This window comes from Homo sapiens, chromosome 14 (assembly GCF_000001405.40).
Source record: "Homo sapiens chromosome 14, GRCh38.p14 Primary Assembly".
NCBI classification, from domain to species: Eukaryota; Metazoa; Chordata; class Mammalia; order Primates; family Hominidae; genus Homo; species Homo sapiens.
The window spans coordinates 75,100,553-75,119,034 of NC_000014.9; the positions used below are offsets into that span (position 1 = coordinate 75,100,553).

The following is an 18,482-nucleotide window of genomic DNA, read 5'->3' on the forward strand; positions in this document are numbered from 1 at the left end:
GCCCTTCAAACCTTAGCAGTCCCTATGGACATCACTGCAGTACAGGTGACCCCAGCCAACAGAGAAAATATGCTGTTCTCTCCAGCTACCCAATCAATGTTTACTGAAATCAATCAACAAGATACTGGGCAAGTTATATAGAAGTACTTAATAATTCTTATAACATTTTACCAAAAAAGTGAAAGCTGAAATGAAAAAAGGAGGAATGTAGAACATTAACCTATCATTATCTAGAAATCTGGCCTTTAAAAACAATCACTATGTTGAACACATGAAAAGTTAATAAAGCTCAATATATATAACCGGCCACCAATTTAATACAAATAAAAAAGTACATCCACAATTCAGCTATACAAATAACTAGTCCATTTCTTTCCCAGCCAAGAACTGAAACACAGCCATGTGTCCAGAAAGCTTGAAATGATATGTACAGACTCACCATCAGTGGCAGCAATGGTAAACTCATCACCGCAGGAGACCCTGATCACTTGCTTCCCACCAAGGGGTCCCCCCAACAGGTTGATTCCCAGACGCTTCTTGTAGTTCCCAACGCCCAGCTGCCCACACTTGTTGCAGCCAAAGGTCAGCAGCCGGCCTCGCTCTGAGAGAGAAGCAAAAAGAAATAACAAGGCACAAATGAGTCCTGGAACCCAGAGAAGATGCAGCCAAGCAGACTTCATGGATTAGCTTCCGGTTGTTAGAATATACAAATATAAAACTAGCCACATGATCCTGGACCTAGGACAAATACAGTATCTAGGCACTATAACCAATTAGATCCAGTCAGCGACTCGATATTGTATTCTCTCTCCAGTACTGTATTTGTAGTGAGAAAAATGAGTACTACCTTAGAATACTTATAAAAGGTGCTAATCAGAGACAACAGATGTCTGGAATCATAGGTGTGGTGTTCTCATAAAAGGATGTATTTATTATGCATTTATAATAATTATCAATAAAAATATGTACCTGAATACATTAATGAAATAATACTAGATTTTCAGGGGAAATCGGGATGATATACATATAAAGAAAACCTAATACCTGATAGAATAAAAGAGGCTCAGCTACTAAGGCATGTGATACAGTTGTAAATCAACTTACCATCAATAGCAGCTGTGTGAGTCTTGCCTGGGGCAATGGTACGGATCTTATAAAAGGACAACTGTTTGGCCAAGGTAAAGGACGTTGTGTAGGGAACTTCATGGTATGCCTGAAACAAAATAAAACACAAAGCAGATGCATGAGGTAAGAAAATCGAAGGAAAATCAGGCTGAGAATGGAAAAAAGTCCTGGTGACCAAAAGGCCTTTCAAGTAAGTTATATTACTAAGAAGAGGGTGCCAGGTAGTTTTCCATCTCCAACAGAAAACAAGAGGAAATAAGCTGAATATGTAATCAGAGAATGCAGCACATGAGGCAGAACTTTCTGACAACCAAAGTTTTAGATTCTGACTTAGGGTTTATAAAACATGAACTTTCCATCCCAGAAGGTATTTATATAAGGAGAGAATCGTTGACATTTACCTTGGTTATACACTCTGCATATCTAACAAGGGCAGGGCAAAGAATTAAAGTCCTGAGGACTGTCTCCAGCCCATAAAGGAATCAGCTTACTGTGATCTAATTTCATCTATAGGGTAGTGTTTCTCAACTTAATTAAAACTCATGTTCCCTTTGAATTAGTATTAAAAAAGAATCCTCTCATTTAAGTTTAAAATTTCACAACAAATCCACTGCTATAATGAAAACATAAATCAAGTAATAGTAATTCTGAATATTGTTTTTTTTGTTTTTTTATTTTGTTTTGTTTTGAGACGGAGTCTTGCTTTGTCGCCCAGGCTGGAGTGCAGTGGCGCGGTCTCGGCTCACTGCAAGCCCCGCCTCCCAGGTTCACGCCATTCTCCTGCCTCAGCCTCCCAAGTAGCTGGGACTACCGGTGCCCGCCACCACACCTGGCTGTTTTTTTTTTTGGTATTTTTAGTGGAGACAGGGTTTCACCGTGTTAGCCAGGATGGTCTTGATCTCATGACCTCGTGATCCGCCCGCCTCAGCCTCCCAAAGTTCCGGGATTACAGGCGTGAGCCACCGTGCCCGGCAACTGAATATTTCTTTTCAAACTACAAAGACACTCTCTCCAGCCTTGCCCTGAATTTGTACTCTCCTAATTGAAAATCACTACTTTAGAGATTGCTTAAAAATTAATTCTTACCTTTTTCATTGAGTCAGAAAACTTCTGTCTCTTAATTTTATTCTTTGGAAAATGACAAAACTCATTATATTAACACAAAAAGGAAACTAAGACGCAGCCATAAAAAAGGATGAGTTCATGTCCTTTGTAGGGATATGGATGAATCTGGAAACCATCATTCTCAGTAAACTATTGCAAGGACAAAAAATCAAACACCGCATGTTCTCACTCATAGGTGGGAATTGAACAATGAGAACACCTGGACACAGGAAGGGGAACATCACACACCGGGGCCTGTCATAGGGTGGGGGAAGGGGGGAGGGATAGCATTAGGCGATATACCTAATGTAAATGACGAGTTAATGGGTACAGCACACCAACATGGCGTATGTATACATATGTAACAAACCTGCACGTTGTGCACATGTACCCTAGAACTTAAAAGTATAATAAAAAAAAAAAAAAGGAAACTAAGACAATATCAGTGGTGAATTTGCTAACATTTTTGAAGACAGAATGGTAATTACATTCGATAAGCCTAAACAGGATCAGTGATTTGGGAGAAATCTAAAAAACTCCAATCAATCAAAAAAACTCCAGGAAGGTGATGCATGGAAATATGTTTTTTTTTATAACATTAATTTGCTTGTTCCTATTTCAATAAGGTAAAAGCTGAATTTCATCATTTTATTCTTTGTAATCAATTTATTTGTTGAAGTATAACACACTGCAAAATATCACACAGCTTGACACATTTTTCTATATACATATACTGGTAAAACCATTACAGATCAAGATATAGACCATTCCCATTACTCTAGGATCCCTTCCACCTCTTCTGTTAATACCCCTCCTTCAATAAGTAGCCACAGTTTTGATTTCTGCCAGTATAAGTTAATTTTGCCTGTTCTTAAATTTTACACAGATAGAGCTATATAGCATGTACTCTTTGTGGCTGGCTTCTTTTTCTGCACACAATGCCTATGAGACCATAACTAAAGTCAAATTCCATGGTCACTAACCAATAATGGCATCTCAAAGAAATTCCAACCTAGAGAAATTCTGATGATGTGGTTAGAACACCAATCAGGACACTCACTTCATGGTTGATAATTCCCGACATGCACTGATTCAGACCCAGCTTATTGAATTCATTGAGTCCACAGGCCAGCACTTTGCCTGACTGGGTCAACAGAAATGTCCCATCACAGCCACATTGAACTGCAACAATAATCAAGGCCTTGGGAACATCCACCTGCAAGAAAAAAATCAGAAAAAGAAATCCCAAATATATAATTCGTATTAGAAAAAAAGCTCTCAAATTCTTTCAAAAGAGACATGCTGCATTTAGCAGAATGACTACAGGAAAGTGAGGACTGCTCTATTCTTTTCAGGTTTGCCCAGTGTCTTAGAGACTACTTTTTCTTTTTTTTTTTTTTTGAGATAGAGTTTCCCTCTTTTGCCCAGGCTGGAGTGAAGTCGTGCGATCTTAGCTCACCGCAATCTCTGCCTCCCAGGTTCAAGCGACTTCTCCTGTCTCAGCCTCCCAAATAGCTGGGATGACAGGTGCATGCCACCACGCCCAGCTAATTTTTGTATTTTTATTAGAGATGAGGTTTTGCCACGTAGGCCAGGCTGGTCTCGAACTCCTGACCTCAGGTGATCTACCCACCTTGGCCTCCCAAAGTGCTGGGATTACAGGTGTGAGCCATCACGCCTGGCTGAGACTACTATTTTCTTTTCTTCTTTTTTTTTTTGAGGTGGAGTCTTGCTCTGTCGCCCAGGCTGGAATGCAGTGGTATGATCTCAGCACACTGCAACCTCTGCCTCCCAGGTTCAAAGCGATTCTCCTGCCTCAGCCTCTTGAGTAGCTGGGATTAAAGGCGTGTGCCACCATGCCCAGTTAATTTTTGTGTTTTTAGTAGAGACAGGGTTTCACCATGTTGGCCAGGCTGGTCTCGAACTCCTGACCTCAAGTGATTTGCCCGCCTCGGCCTCCCAAAGTGCTGGGATTACAGGCGTGAGCCATTGTGCTCGGTCAAGGCTACTGTTGTCAACGAAGAGCTCAAGTTTTACAATATCAAAGAAAAGGTGACAGTTCCAGGTCAACTAAACAAGACAGCACCCTCTCAGTTTGTCTTAGTAATAGGTCCTACTTAGGGTGACCTGTCAAAAAGTTGAGAAAGAAGCTTCAATTCATTGCTGATTTTGTCCTTTGAGATGGAAGGCTGCTTGACAGTTACAGAAATTCAGTAGCCCTGTGGGGTCCCAATCTGGTCATTTTATAGGAGAGGTGACAGAGTACTGAGGTAATATCTAGGACTTCCAAATGCTCATATCTTTTTACAGCTAACTAGACAGGACTGGAGAAGGTGGGGTGATGCATGTGTGGGGTCACAATGGATGTGTGTAAAACCTGAAACCTCAACCCTCAGTTTCTGCCACAGCCTTTCCAGGAGAAAAGGAACAGCTGGGAATCCCATTGAGGATGGTCCCTAGAAATGCATAATAATTTAATTTTTAAAATATAAATAAAAACTGGTTTGGCTAAAAGTTCCCAAGGAAAGAAAAAAAAAAAAGAAAACAGAAAACCCAAAACACTGCTAACAATAAATGGTATAGCTGATTTAGCCAACCCTCCAATGGGTAAGCCTGTGCCCTAGGGTAGGTGGGAGAGATGTGACTGTGCTTTTCCCCCAGCTGGTATCAGCCTCTGTGAGCCTCTCACAGGGCCAGCTCTGGCAAGGCTGAGAGTAATTAGATAATATGTTTCATGCAACATGACCGCTAAACAAAAACAACTATTAATATTTCATCTGGTGGTCAACTGTAGAAACAGGAGAGGAAAATGGCTGTGTTGGGTTAAGAGACAGTATACTGCTTTACAGTATCTTCTCGAGTTTTCCAGGGTATTTGTAGCTATATGTGACTTTTCTGCTGTACACGCTGATTTTAGCTGTCATCCCTGAGTAAGATGTGACTTCACAATGTCCACAGTCGCTGTATCCACTTTCTCAATTTTCTGTGATTTGGTCAGATGACAAGACCACAGGGTGCTAAATCAGGAATCCTAAATTGTCAGTCTCCCAAACAGGAAACACTTCGGAAATAAATACCTTGATACAACAGAGCCAAGGAAAGAGGACATATTATTGGAGTCTGTGCGACTTAAGATAGGTTTTAGAAATAAGTTGCTTCTGATTTTACCTTTTGTGGTGTATAATAATCCTCTTCTGAATCCAAACCCAGTCGTCCTGAAACACACATAAGAATGAAAATCATTATAATGAGGGCTTCCTTCCCAGTGAATAGGTTCTGTAAGATTCTCTTTTGCCAGGTGCGGTGGCTCACACCTGTAATCCCAGCACTTTGGGAGGCCGAGGCAGGTGGATCATGAGGTCAGAAGTTCGAGCGAGACAAGCCTGGCCAGTGTGGTGAAACCCCATCTCTACTAAAAATACAAAAAATTAGCTGGGTGTGATGGTGTGTGCCTGTAATCCCAGCTACTCGGGAGGCTGAGGCAGGAGAATCACTCGAACTCGGGAGGTGGTGGTTGCAATGAGCCCAGATCATGCCATTGCACTCCAGCCTGGGTGACAGAGAGAGACTCTGTCTCGAGAAAAAAAAAAAAAAAAAAAAAAAAGATTTACTGAATTAACACTTCTCATTTAGGGGCTGCATGATGGGTTTAGATGCATACAACTTTGAAGTCAGGTTGTATACCTGTGAAGAAGTGGACAGAGACAAGGCTACCCCTACCATATTCGCCACAGCCCCAAGAATAGACTTCCTTGTTTCGTGTCAGAACCACCACATGATTATCTCCACAGGAGACCTGCTCCACTGGATTGCTGAGGAAGAAGTTCAGCTGCATGGGTTCTAGCACTTCAGGGCCAGCAACTTTGTCCACCCCCATGCAGCCATAATAATCTGATCCGAAGGCATAGAGCTGACCCTCATCTGCAAAAGAAAGGAAAACAGAATCCATCAAAGGACTGACTTATTTTATCTAATCAGAAAGTTGGGCAGGGCTGGAATGAGGACTACCCCAGCAAATGATCTCACATGAATTGATTATATCCAAGAAATTAAAAGGACAGACTGTGCAAGTCTAGAGTTCTATGTCAGAGAGTCATGTGTACTACTACTACTATATTAAACAATTTAAAAAGTGGTAGCATTATCACATTAAAAGGACTTAAAATTTTAATGGGGCCATCTTTGTTATATAGATAAAAAAATAAGTCCCAAGGAATCATTAACTAAGTAATGACAAGACCAAAACTAAACTTAGGTCTTGATCCTAATTTTGTGTTATTCATAGCCTGATGAGGTGGTAAGATTATTTTTCCTGCCAACCACGACACACATTTTCTCCTGATCCCACCTCTTCTCTGTTACCCACCTGTCTTCTCCTTGCTCACCACCCCCTAATACTATAGCAAATTTGGTATGTTATTATTAATGAGTATATTTGCTCAAGGTCCTCTGGTTCTTTGTATACTGTCTTTTGTTTTAAAATCCCAACTAAGATTGCACAGCATTAAGCAAAATACCCCCACATTAAATGCACTTAAGACACTTTCTGCTGATGGCTTACCAGTCACACAGACAGTGAAATCATCACCACATGACACCTGACGGATAGCTTTGCCTTGCAACTTTTCCACATGCTTTGGCTGTCGATAGGAGGCTTTGTCTCCATGGCCCAGCTGACCATGGAGTTTAGTGCCTCCTTGCATGTTCTGTGAAATAAAGAGGTCTTATGACTTTTTTTTTTAATTACATTTTATTAAACTTAAATTTTAAAGAGATGGGTTCTCGCTATGTTGCCCAAGCTGGTCTTGAACTCCTGGGCTCAAGTGATCCTCCTGCCTCGGCTTCCCAAAGTGCTGGGATTGTAGACATGAACCACCATCCCCGGCTGAGAGGTCTTATGAAGTTTTAATTTTTCATGCCAAAAGCTGATCTTTAATGGAACTTCATATGAAGAAAAACAGTAGAAAAAAAGAGCTAGAAATTTAGAAATTAGAAAAAAATGGGCAAAGGGATTAAACATTTTAATAGCAAGTAGTATACAGATCCTGCCAACAGGTAAAGAAAACTTAAAAAGTATCCAGATTAATATCCATTAATCTAATCTTTGTCCTTCAAGTCTAAGGTAAACTATATATTTAATTACAGGTGATGGTGAAAAAAATTCTTTATAATATAGTCTAACTTTGTTGCTTTCTACAGGAATATAGCTTCTTGAAAATCTGTACTAGAAGTTTCATAAATTTTGGTCACAGTTTCCCTGAAACATGGAAGAGTTATAAAGAATCTGGCTACATCAAAGAGGCTGCTATACAGCAATGAGACTAGTCCTTGATGACTTTTCAACTTTTTTTTTTTTTTTTGAGACAGAGTTTCGCTCTTGTCACCCAGGCTGGAGCGCAGTGGCTCGATCTCAGCTCACTGCAAGCTCTGCCTCCTGGGTTCAAGCGATTCTCCTGCCTCAGCCTCCCAAGTAGCAGGGATTACAGGTGCCCGCCACCACGCCTGGCTAATTTTTTGTATGTTTAGTAAAGATGGGGTTTTGCCATGTTGGCCAGGCTGGTCTCGAACTCCTGACCTCAGGTGATCCACTCGCCTCGGCCTCCCAAAGTTTTGAGATTACAGGTGTAAGCCACCATGTCTGGCCTTTTCAACAGTTTTATAGAGAAAAATAATTCTATTAAATGAGTATACTACAAGTCCTCATATTTTATATATATATGTGTGTGCGTGTGCGTGTGTGTGTGTGTGTGTGTGTGTGTGTGTGACAGTATATATATATATTTTTTTTTTTGAGACAAGGTCTTGCTCTGTCACTCAGGCTGCAGTGCAGTGGTGCAATCTTGGTTCATTGCAATCTCCACCTCCCAGGCTCAAGTGATTCTCATGCCTCAGCCTCCTGAGTAGCTGGAATCACAGGCATGCGCCACCACTCTCAGCTAACTTTTGTATTTTTAGTAGAGATGGGGTTTTGTCATGTTTGCCAGGCTGGTCTCAAACTCCTGGCCTCAAACAATCCACTCGCCTTGGCCTCCCGAAGTGCTGAGACTTCAGTTGTGAGCCACTACGCCCAGCCAATAAATGTTTAAGATACTAATTTCTCTCCAGCAGCCTGAAATGAGCCTGAGAACGCATAGCAAGAGACAGGAGGAAAGCCAAGAGAACATGCTATCACAGAAGGCAAGTAAAGACAAAGCTTCAAGAAGGAGGGAGTGGTCAACTATGTCAAATGCTGCCGAGAGGTCAAGCTAGGTAAGGACTAAAAAGCATCTGTTTTATTTTAGCAATTTATGGGTCATTTTGTCAAGACTAGTTTCAATTGAGTGGCAGTGGCAGAGATGGAAGCTGCATTGTAGGTGAATGAAGAGAGAGTGGGAGATAAGGAAACAGACAGCAAACACAGACAATTTGTTAAGGAAGGTGAGAGGGGAGAATCTAGAGGGCAACAAACAAATTCTACACAAAATATACCTAGCCATCTTCAATCACTGCTGTGGGCTTCAGGGGTTTCCTGACATGGTATAGTCCTTCCTTTGTTTACAAAGCTATTTCACAGGTAATAGTTGCTCTGAACCTCATGGTAATATAACAGAGTAATTGAGTGACTTGTCTGAAATCATCCAGCTGTAAATGGGAAACCCCAGTCTCCTGAGTCTTTCAATTTTTCTCTCCCTCTCTCATTCATTCATTCAAAAAACATTTATAGGTGACCTAATATGTACCAGCCCTGGGCATACATCAGTGAACTAAACAGACAAAATCCCTGCTCTTATAAGAGCTTCCATTCCATCACCCCATGTTGCCACTCCCTTAGTATAGGTTCAACTAATAAAATGCTTAGACATCGTGGGCCCAGTAAACAATTAGGCTTACAGCACTGTTCCAAAATGCTTAGCGTTCACTTACCACCCAAGTGTACAGTTCCTTCTCCACTGTGACCACAGCAAAGTGGGTATTCCCTGCACAGACCTGCCGGGCACTACAGCCACTCTTGATAACATCCAGTTTCTGGGGGGTGGATTTTCCACCACCCCAAACATAGACTTCACTGGTTCGTGATGTTACTACAGCAATGGGTGCTTCAGTCACAGTGCTTGACCTGCCAACAACCCCCAGAACAAAGGAACATTTAACATTAAAAACAATATCAAAGAAAAATGCTTCCAGTCTGTTCCCTGAGAAGAACTGCCAATTATGGTATGAGAAAGTATGTTCTTTCTCGACAACTTGTTTCAATGTGCTCTATCACAGCAGACTTTGCAATTCCTGCCTCAGGGCTTCATCACAGCTTGGCCAGATCAGATTCCAGTCTGACCCATAACACCTACACTTTTCCACATTCATCATGGTAATGATGGCCACTTTAGTGTGAGGGTGAAATTATAGCTTTCTTCTTAGAAATGACTGTCTGACATTTAAGCAGATGCTGGCTCCTGAAAGGATGCCAAAGTATCCTCGGATCAAATAATGCCTACACTCAAGAAAGAACCCCCTGGTTGTAATTTCGGATATATTAGTTTTTAAGAGTCTCTTGAACATTACCTTGGTCTCTTTGTAGGTGCATTAAGCAGAGTGACTTTTTCCTCCATCTCTCTACCAAAAGAAAAGCAAAGATACATGAGTGAAATAATAGGTTTTTATATTGCAAAGGTGTCTGTTTAATACATTTCACAGATTTAATCCTCTTATAAACTGTATGCATCCTACAACATCACAATACTTTTAGCAAAGTACCTCAATACAACTCAAAACAGTTATATAGTCCTTTCATTAGACAATTCATTAAATACCCAAAGGCCAGCAGTTTGGGGCCATTTGCTTTCTGTCTCTGAGAAATGGTCCAGGCTGGAACAGAGAGCCTTGAGAACCTCTGATGTACATATTTAGTATCTGATGGACACCTTCATCTAGTCTGCCCACTGACTCCCAAACTCAGTATCTCCAAATATGAGCTTGTTAGCTTTTTCCCAAATGAGCTTTTCTTTCTGACTCCTCTATTTCTGTAACTAGCCGCAACACCCTTCCCCAATTCTCCCAGTCAACTGGGCTTAAAACCTCAGTCATCTCTGATTCATCTCTCTCCCTTTCTTTAATATTCAGGTTCTACAGATTCTACCTATATAGTACTTTTTGTACTCACCTCTTCCTTTCCAGTCTCACCACCTTAGTTCTGGGTAGCTCTACTTCCCACCTGTACTGTGATAATACCTCCTAATCAGCCTCACTTACTACAGTCTTAATCATTTTACTATACTAATTTAACACAGATACTAATATTGCCAAATAACTCTTCCTTAGGTATGCCTCTCATCACGTGAACTGCCCTCTCGCAAACATCCACCATCTCTCAACAGTGGATGTGATACCCACTCTATCTTTTGCACTACCTCTTGAATTAACCACAATTTTCTTGGCCTGGCATGCAAGATTTCCTACCTATTTTTCCAGACTTCCTTCCTTTTGTTTGCACCCCACGTTCTAGCCCAGGGCTGTCATCCTACCTAAATCAATTATAGCTGAGCTCCTAGAGTAGTGCTCAGGCATCAGTACTTTTTGAAAGCTCCTGATATTTTGCATCAAAAATCCCAGGTCTAGAACCACTAATCTAGCCAAATAGAATTTTGTGTTTCCTGAATATTTTCCACAACTTCCTGTGTCTATGATTTTGTTTATGCTATATTCTCTGTCTGGAAAACTCTGTCTTATGTTTTCCATCAAAGTACAAAGTTCCAACAAAGTATTGCAGGCAAATCTATAATTATCTCAGTAAAAATTTCATGCCTACACTCAAGAAATAAGAGATTAAAATAGTGACTTAAAATAGTGATTATGCCGTGTGTGGTGGCTCATGCCTGTAATCCCAGTACTTTGGGAGGCCGATGCAGGCAGATCACCTGAGGTCAGGAGTTCGAGACTAGCCTGGCCAACGTAGTAAAACCTTGTCTCTACTAAAAATACAAAAACTAGCCAGGCGTGGTGGCGCCTGCCTGTAGTCCCAGCTACCCGAGAGGCTAAGGCAGGAGAACTGCTTAAACCTGGCAGGTGGAGGTTACAGTGAGCTGAGACTACGCCACTGCACTCCAGCCTGGGCAACAGAGTGAGACTCTCATAAAGTAAATAAAAGTAAATAAAATAAAATAAAATAAATCATTATATTGCTGTGAAATAAGCCAGACAAAAATTTTAAATATGCTTCACCAGACCAAAAGGGTGATACTGCCTGCACGTGCACAAAACATAAATGGAAGGTCATGGTGCTGTATCTGGAGTACTGTACATAATTTCAGGCACTAAAACACTGGCTACAGACCAACTAGAGAAGAACCAGAAAAGATTAATTAAATGGCATAGTAGAATAAAAGTACTGATGAAACAGCAAATATGCAATTAGGGATGTACAGAATGTATCCAAGAGCAAGACTTGAAAAGAGCATTGTATGTGAATATTTGGAAGATATAAAAACAAAAAACTGGTAGTGGAGGAAGAAGCGTAGCAAGGCAAAAATAGTGTAATAGGATGAAATACAGACTCAAATATTTAACGAAGATAAATGTTTTAAATTAAGGTATGAAACCTCCTAGAGGAACAGAGGGATAAAGGATGTTCTTCCTATCTCTAAAGATATCTGACAGAATAATCTCAGGAAATAACCTCTGAGGAGTCAATAAAACTCGACTTCAAATATGGGCAAAATGTACCTGAAGAGGATTCCTCCAACTCCAACCTACCACCTAAACAAATGCAGTGAAAAACAAAGGCTCAGGCTGGGCATAGTGTCTCATGCCTGTAATCCCAACACTTTGGGAGGCTGAGGCAGGAGGATTGCTTAGGCAACAGCTTTGAGATCAGCCTGGGCAACACAGTGAGACCCCGTCTCTATAAAAATAGAAAAATTAGCCAGGCATGATGGTGCACACCTGTAGTCCTAGCTACCTGGGAGGCTGAGGTGTGAGAATCACTTGCAGCAGAAGTTCAAGGCTGCAGTGAGCTAGGACTGTGCCACTGCACTCTAGCCTGGGTGACAGAGTGAGACTCTGTCTCAGAAAACAAACAAAAAACAAAAAAACCAAAGGACCAGTCCAACTCACACTACAATTGATAGGCACCCTATGCCAGGCCCTGGGCTGACCACTTTTTATGCGTTATCTTCTTTAATCCTGACCTCATCTTACTTTATAGAGGAGAAAGCCAAGAAATAACGATGTTAAATAACTTGACAAAGATAATGACAAAATTCAGATACAAACATAAGGATGTCTGAGTCCAGACACCCCTCTTCCTTACTGCACTCTAATGCCTCAACTCTAAGGTTTAAAACCAATGGGTTGGGGAGTGAAGGGCTCTTGGGCCTCATTAGTACAAATTTACAACAAAACAGCACAGGCTAAGGAGGCAAAAGTCAGATGCCACCCCTAAGCAATAAAAGCAGGGATGTTGGTAGAAAATAGCACTATTGCAACCAAGTCAGGAAACACTACTCTTTCTTTTAGTACTCTGATCAAGCCTCTAAAAGTCAACTATCTCAGAAAAGACAATGGAGTGACTTCTTCATAATTTACCTCCTGCGTTTCCTGAGAAGAGGGCGATCTAGAAGTTCATCTGCAGTAGGTCTCTGCTCAGGATCCTAAAAAGTAAAAATAGGGTTAGTTTTCACTTAATGGAAATGGGCGACATCGGATCTAAAGATGTTAATTAGTCAAAGACCACTGCATTATCCTTTTGTTTTAAAAATCATTTCTTATGTGATACTCCATATTTTATGCTTCTCACCTCATTATAATCAACACTTGTACATGAAGGAGAATGTTTATAATGCATCTTCCTCACTTGTTCAGTTAGGGCAGTGGCTCTTGAACCTCAATATATACAGAACAGAAGAATTACCTGAGGTGTTTGTTACAAATAAAGATTTCTGGGCTTTATCCACAGAGATTCTGATTGAGTTCGTCTGGGGTGGGGCCCAGGAATCTTCTTTTTACTTACAAAACTCCCCCATTCCCTGGTGATTCTGACTCCAGTGTTTCATGAAACATACTTTGAATAATACTAGAACTACACAGCAAGGGAACCATGAGATATGAGAAATACAGACATTCTGTATTAGAAGTGGTAAATTATCTTTCATTGCAGTTTTTTGAAATCTATATTCAGAAATTACTCTTGGTCATAAAAAATCGAGCACAATTTAGATGGGAAATTCATTTCACAAACTAACACTTACAAAACAGAATGAAGTAAGAATTTGTTCACTGAAGCACACAACTATAATGAATTACCAATACCTATTCTGGGTATAGCCACAAATACACTCTACCCTGGGGAAGTGGATGTGGTTTTGTATGGTTTATAGCTATGCCATACACCAAACACTGAGGCTGGAAGGGGAAATACGAAACTGAAGTGAATGTTTAAGTCACACCTACCTGGTCAAGGCACGAATGAACCATTTGGATCAATTCCAAAGAGTACTGGCTAGAGTCAACTTCCATGGCCCGAATTCCTTGCACGATCTTCACACACAGGTTAAGTGGGTTCTATGAGAAAATGATGACTGCATTGTTCCTGGTTATATAAAGATGATGCTATACTCTACTGGTAGGGGCTCTCAGGTGTCTGTGACCATTATTTAAAGAATTGGCAATAGGTCTGACTTCTTGTTATAACTACTAGTATGCATCAAAAAAAAATGGTTAGGGATGCACTGATGCTATCAGACAGAATGAAGCCAACTGGCCATACAATCTATAACTATGTGGCCAATAATATGATGCTCAGAGTATATTATAATCTGACCTTTCAACTGAATCCCAAGAAAAAGGAAAGCAAGATTAGCCATCCTTGTTGGCTTCATGTAGTTCCCTTGCCAACTAACTTGCGTCCTAATTTATATATCCTAATTGTGGCTGTACAGGCAATACTCTGCTGCAACAGATAAGGCAGTAATAATAATAAGATGATAATACTAACAATATTATGGTAATACCACCACCACATTATTGAGAGACTACTACAAACTAGACAGGCACATTACATATATGATATTTTTTAGCCTCACTAACACCATTCAAGGAAATTATTATCATTATCAATTTATATATGAGAAAAATGGGGCTCAGAGATGTAAAGTAACTTGCCCAAAATCACAGATAGTAAAAATGGAGCTATAATTCCAACCAAAGCCTGACTCCAAGTCATATACATATATACACATATATACACACATACATATACACACACATATATGTGTATATATGTATATGTGCATGTGTACATGTACACACACGTGTGTGCACATATATACACGTGTGTGTACATATATGCACACGTGTGTGCGTACACACACACACATTTCTTAAGACAGAGTCTCACTCTGTCACCCAGGCTGGAGTGCAGTGACACGATCTCCACTCACTACAACCTCTGTCTCCTGGGTTCAAGTGATGCTTGTGCCTCAGCCTCCTGAGTAGCTGGGATTACGGGCATGCGCCACCATGCCTGGATAATTTTTGTATTTTTTAGTAGAGACAGGGTTTCACCATGTTGGCCAGGCTGGTCTCGAACTCCTGACCTCAGGTGATCTGTCCGCCTCAGCCTCCCAAAGTGCTGGGATCACAGGCATGAGCCACCGCGCCCAGCCTCTGACTCCAAGTCATTTTTCTTCCACCATACTATTTAGGAGAATTAGATGATATACTAGAACAACCTTCAGGATTTAGAAAAATGAATAGGTCTTATGAAAGGGCAATGAATTTGCATTATCTTACATTTGCATTTTTCATATACATTATGAGAGAATCTCCGTGTGGGGAATATATATTGTTACCATGTTATAGATAATGAAACAGAGGATCAAAGAGATGAAGTGATTTGCCTAAATTCTCACACCTGGTTGGTAGAGGCAACTGGATATGAATCCACTTTAGCCCCTCAGTGTGCTCCATGGACCAGCAGCATCAGCATCACTTGGGAGCTTGTTAGAAACACAGACTATCAACCCCACCCCCCAAAAAAATCTGCATTTCAACAAGATGATTTTGTATGCATATTAAAGTTTGAGAAGCACTGCTTTATATCAGGTTGTACTTTAATTTACTTAAAAAAAGAAAAAAAGACTTAAAGGGATTCATTGTCCATAAAGCAATGACAATCTTTATTTATTTTTTAACAGATAAACATTTTTTTCCTAGTTAATGAATATTTTTAACACCCACGATGTGTTAGGTATTGCAGAAAATAAAGCAAACATTTGGAAGGGTTTTAGACTACCTGGCAAAACCACAGCTATATAAAAAAAGTAAGTACAATAAAGTGATACTGGTGCTATGTCAGAAGTGTTTACAAGATAGAATAAAGGCACAAAGAAGTAACAATTTAGAAAAAGGCATAAATATGCTGGGCATGGGGGCTCATACCTGTAATCCTAGCACAGGCCAAGGCAGGAGGATCACTTGAGGCCAGGATTTTGAAACAAGCTTGGGTAACATAGTGAGAACCCATCTCTACAAAAAATAGCCAGGTGTGGTGAGGCATGCCTGTAGTTCGAACTACTCAGGAGACTGAGGCGGGATGACTGCTGGAGCACAGGAGTTTGAGACTGCAGTGAGCTATGATCACGACACTGCACTCCAGGCCTGGGCAACAGAGTGAGACCCAAATAAAACAATTATCTTTTGCTCCCTTCCATTCTGTTCACTAGATTTGCATTCTTTTACACGTTTCTAGGAAAGTGATGCAGTAGCTGCATGATCATCTGGCTGCTGTTAATAATGTTCCAATTCCTACTGCTTGAAAAAGTGAACCATCATATTCCATTTTTTGCTTTTAAGAGATGAACTTTTAAATTTAATTTAATTTTAATTTTTTTTTGAGACAGGGTCTTGCTCTGTTGCCCAGGCTGGAGTACAGTGGTGCGATCTTGGCTTACTGCAGTCTCCACTTCCCGGGTTCAAGTGATCATTTCAACAGGGAATTCAAGTTGGAGATTTTTTTGAGACAGAGTCTTGCTCTGTTGCCCAGGCTGGAGTGCAGTGGCATGATCTTGGCTCACTGCAACCTCCACCTCCTGGGTTCAAGCAATTTTTGTGCCTCAGCCTCTCAAATAGCTGGGATTACAGGTGTGCGCCACCACACCCGGCTGAGTTTTGTATTTCTAATGGAGACGGGGTTTCACCATGTTGGCCGGGGTGACCTCAAGTGATCCACCCACCTCGGCCTCCCAAAATGCTGGGATTACAGGCGTGAGCCACTGCGCCTGGCTGGGTCTATAGCATTTTAGTAATAGATTACTAATCTTGTACCTGAATACAGGTTATTTTTGCCAGAAATCAGAAGCCTGGGAATAGAGTTGATCTGCTTAGTCAAGCTGTACCATTTGCAACCTGCTAAATGCAATATGGGGATAATATGCCAACTTACTGTAGCATCAAACGTCCTCTTTAAGGTAAGCAGTTCAAAAATGACGCAGCCAACTGCCCAGATATCAGACTTGAAATTGTACTTTACTCCTTGACAGAGCTCTGGAGACATGTAATATGGGGTTCCCACAAGCTGAGCAACAAAGAAACAATCAAAGAATAACTTCTTTTCTGAGGTAACTATGTTAACATTTCAACAGCTTAATTAAATTTCCTAGGAACTAGTCATAACAACCATAAAACATTCATCAGCAGATTCCAAAATGGTTTTTATGAGACGATGCCACTATGGAAAGAAATCTTATTCATATCAAACCTCTTGGGTCAATTATAAAGGGACAATCTCTGTGACAAAGGAACTGTGGTAACTTGAGGGGCTCAATAGCTCTGTGATTCCTAGATCACAGAGGCTTCAGGCATTCAAGGCCTACTGAAGACTTTACACAAACTTAAAGACATACTTAGTAGAAGTTCACCAATGGGAAAAAAATCCAAACACTGGCAGTGGGGAGATGGTAACTCAATGAAGGAATTAGATGTTCTAACTAAAATACGCGCAATGAAACTTTTAAAATGCCCAATTTGGCATCTGTTATACTAACACAGCTAGCGAATTTCCTTTGAATTTGAAAAAGATTTTCTGACTTCAAAAATAAATTTGGAAATAAAAATGTCCTAAGAAGTCATGCCTCTCCCAAGATGAGATATAATGAATGCCCTAGCAGCTCTAATAAAATTCATAGTCAGCTTTAAGCAGCAAAGCAAAGCAAATTTCAGATGGCTTACATGGCTTTTATAAATTTTCATATCATTCCTTCTTTGCATTTAACTAGCTAAAAAAAGTCAAGTCTTGGTTTTATCAGATTGTTCTTGATGAGAAAAATCCATATAAAGATATGATTGCTTCTTCAGAAGCTCACTTTGGCCTCCATCATAGAAACATCTGAGTCCCTGAAGCAGAGACTCCAAACCCTAAACATCTAAATTGCTTGCAGGCAAACCTTGACATTATTAAAAAAAAAATTATTGGCCAAAATCAGTTTTCAATTTCTTTTAAGGACAGAGCATTGTGAAACTAGAAGAATAACAACTGGGTTTTATAATTCCTAAAAGGATAAGATTACTGTCCTAAAGATCAACTTATGTCTACTCTTTACCAATGATCTTTCTCAAAATCATGTGAGAAGGGACCCCTGTGCAGTTCAGACTGTGTATAATATTAAAGAATGGATTGTTCTCTGAGCATCAGCCTTCACTTGAAATATAGGGTTCTCTTTGAACCAGAAGCATTCAAAGGAAAAACAAAGAGATGTCTAACACCTTGAGCTCAAACATTAAATAAGAGATAAAGTGAAATCTACTAAAGATCCTAACCTGGACAAAACAGTAAAGCATTTTGCTGCTTTTAGATAAGTCCCTAATCAGTGCTGGAAAAAGGCTATGAGGTCAGAGCTGTAACGTGGGCAATGACTTAAATGCCTGCTAGTGGGCCCAGGAAAAAGACTTCTGAAGACATGCATTAAAAGTATGGAGAACTTGCAAGAATATTGAGAAAAGTATGCAAGATTTAGGGAGTACAGTTATATTTCACAGTGCTAGAAAATAAAATAAAAATTAAGACAAGGGCAACACATACCGTCTCAGCCATGGAATACTCAGAATTAAGTTTCTTTGCTAGGCCATAATCTCCAAGTTTTATCAGGTTTGCCTTGGTCAGAAAAATATTTAATGTCTTTATATCTCTGAAAAAAAAAGATGCTGCAAATTAAGTTCACACAGATAATTGTTTTATTTCATCCCCCGCCTTGCCCAGGATTATTACAGAATAAAAATGAGTGTGG

The 18,482-nt window shown here is 40.3% G+C and overlaps 1 protein-coding gene and 1 pseudogene across 5 annotated transcripts in view; both read right to left on the reverse strand.

Annotated features, from left to right (window-relative positions):
- NEK9 (NIMA related kinase 9) overlaps nt 1–18,482 on the reverse strand; it is a 47,850-nt gene that overhangs the window by 21,200 nt on the left and 8,168 nt on the right. For 3 of the 5 annotated variants that reach the window (XM_047431919.1, NM_001329238.2, NM_033116.6), the window contains exons 5-16: nt 18,278–18,383; nt 16,643–16,774; nt 13,651–13,761; nt 12,787–12,851; nt 9,769–9,819; nt 9,133–9,325; nt 6,791–6,935; nt 5,950–6,150; nt 5,398–5,444; nt 3,290–3,445; nt 1,105–1,213; nt 440–601 (exon numbers count right to left, since the gene is read on the reverse strand). In XM_047431919.1, the coding sequence (XP_047287875.1) occupies nt 440–601; nt 1,105–1,213; nt 3,290–3,445; nt 5,398–5,444; nt 5,950–6,150; nt 6,791–6,935; nt 9,133–9,325; nt 9,769–9,819; nt 12,787–12,851; nt 13,651–13,761; nt 16,643–16,774; nt 18,278–18,383 (1,478 nt within the window). Of the gene's footprint in view, nt 1–439; nt 602–1,104; nt 1,214–3,289; nt 3,446–5,397; nt 5,445–5,913; nt 6,151–6,790; nt 6,936–9,132; nt 9,326–9,768; nt 9,820–12,786; nt 12,852–13,650; nt 13,762–16,642; nt 16,775–18,277; nt 18,384–18,482 lie in introns of all 5 variants that reach the window. The other 2 variants (XM_005268209.4, NM_001329237.2) reach the window with 1 other exon arrangement.
- On the reverse strand, nt 15,874–16,056 carry HIF1AP1 (HIF1AP pseudogene 1; annotated as a pseudogene).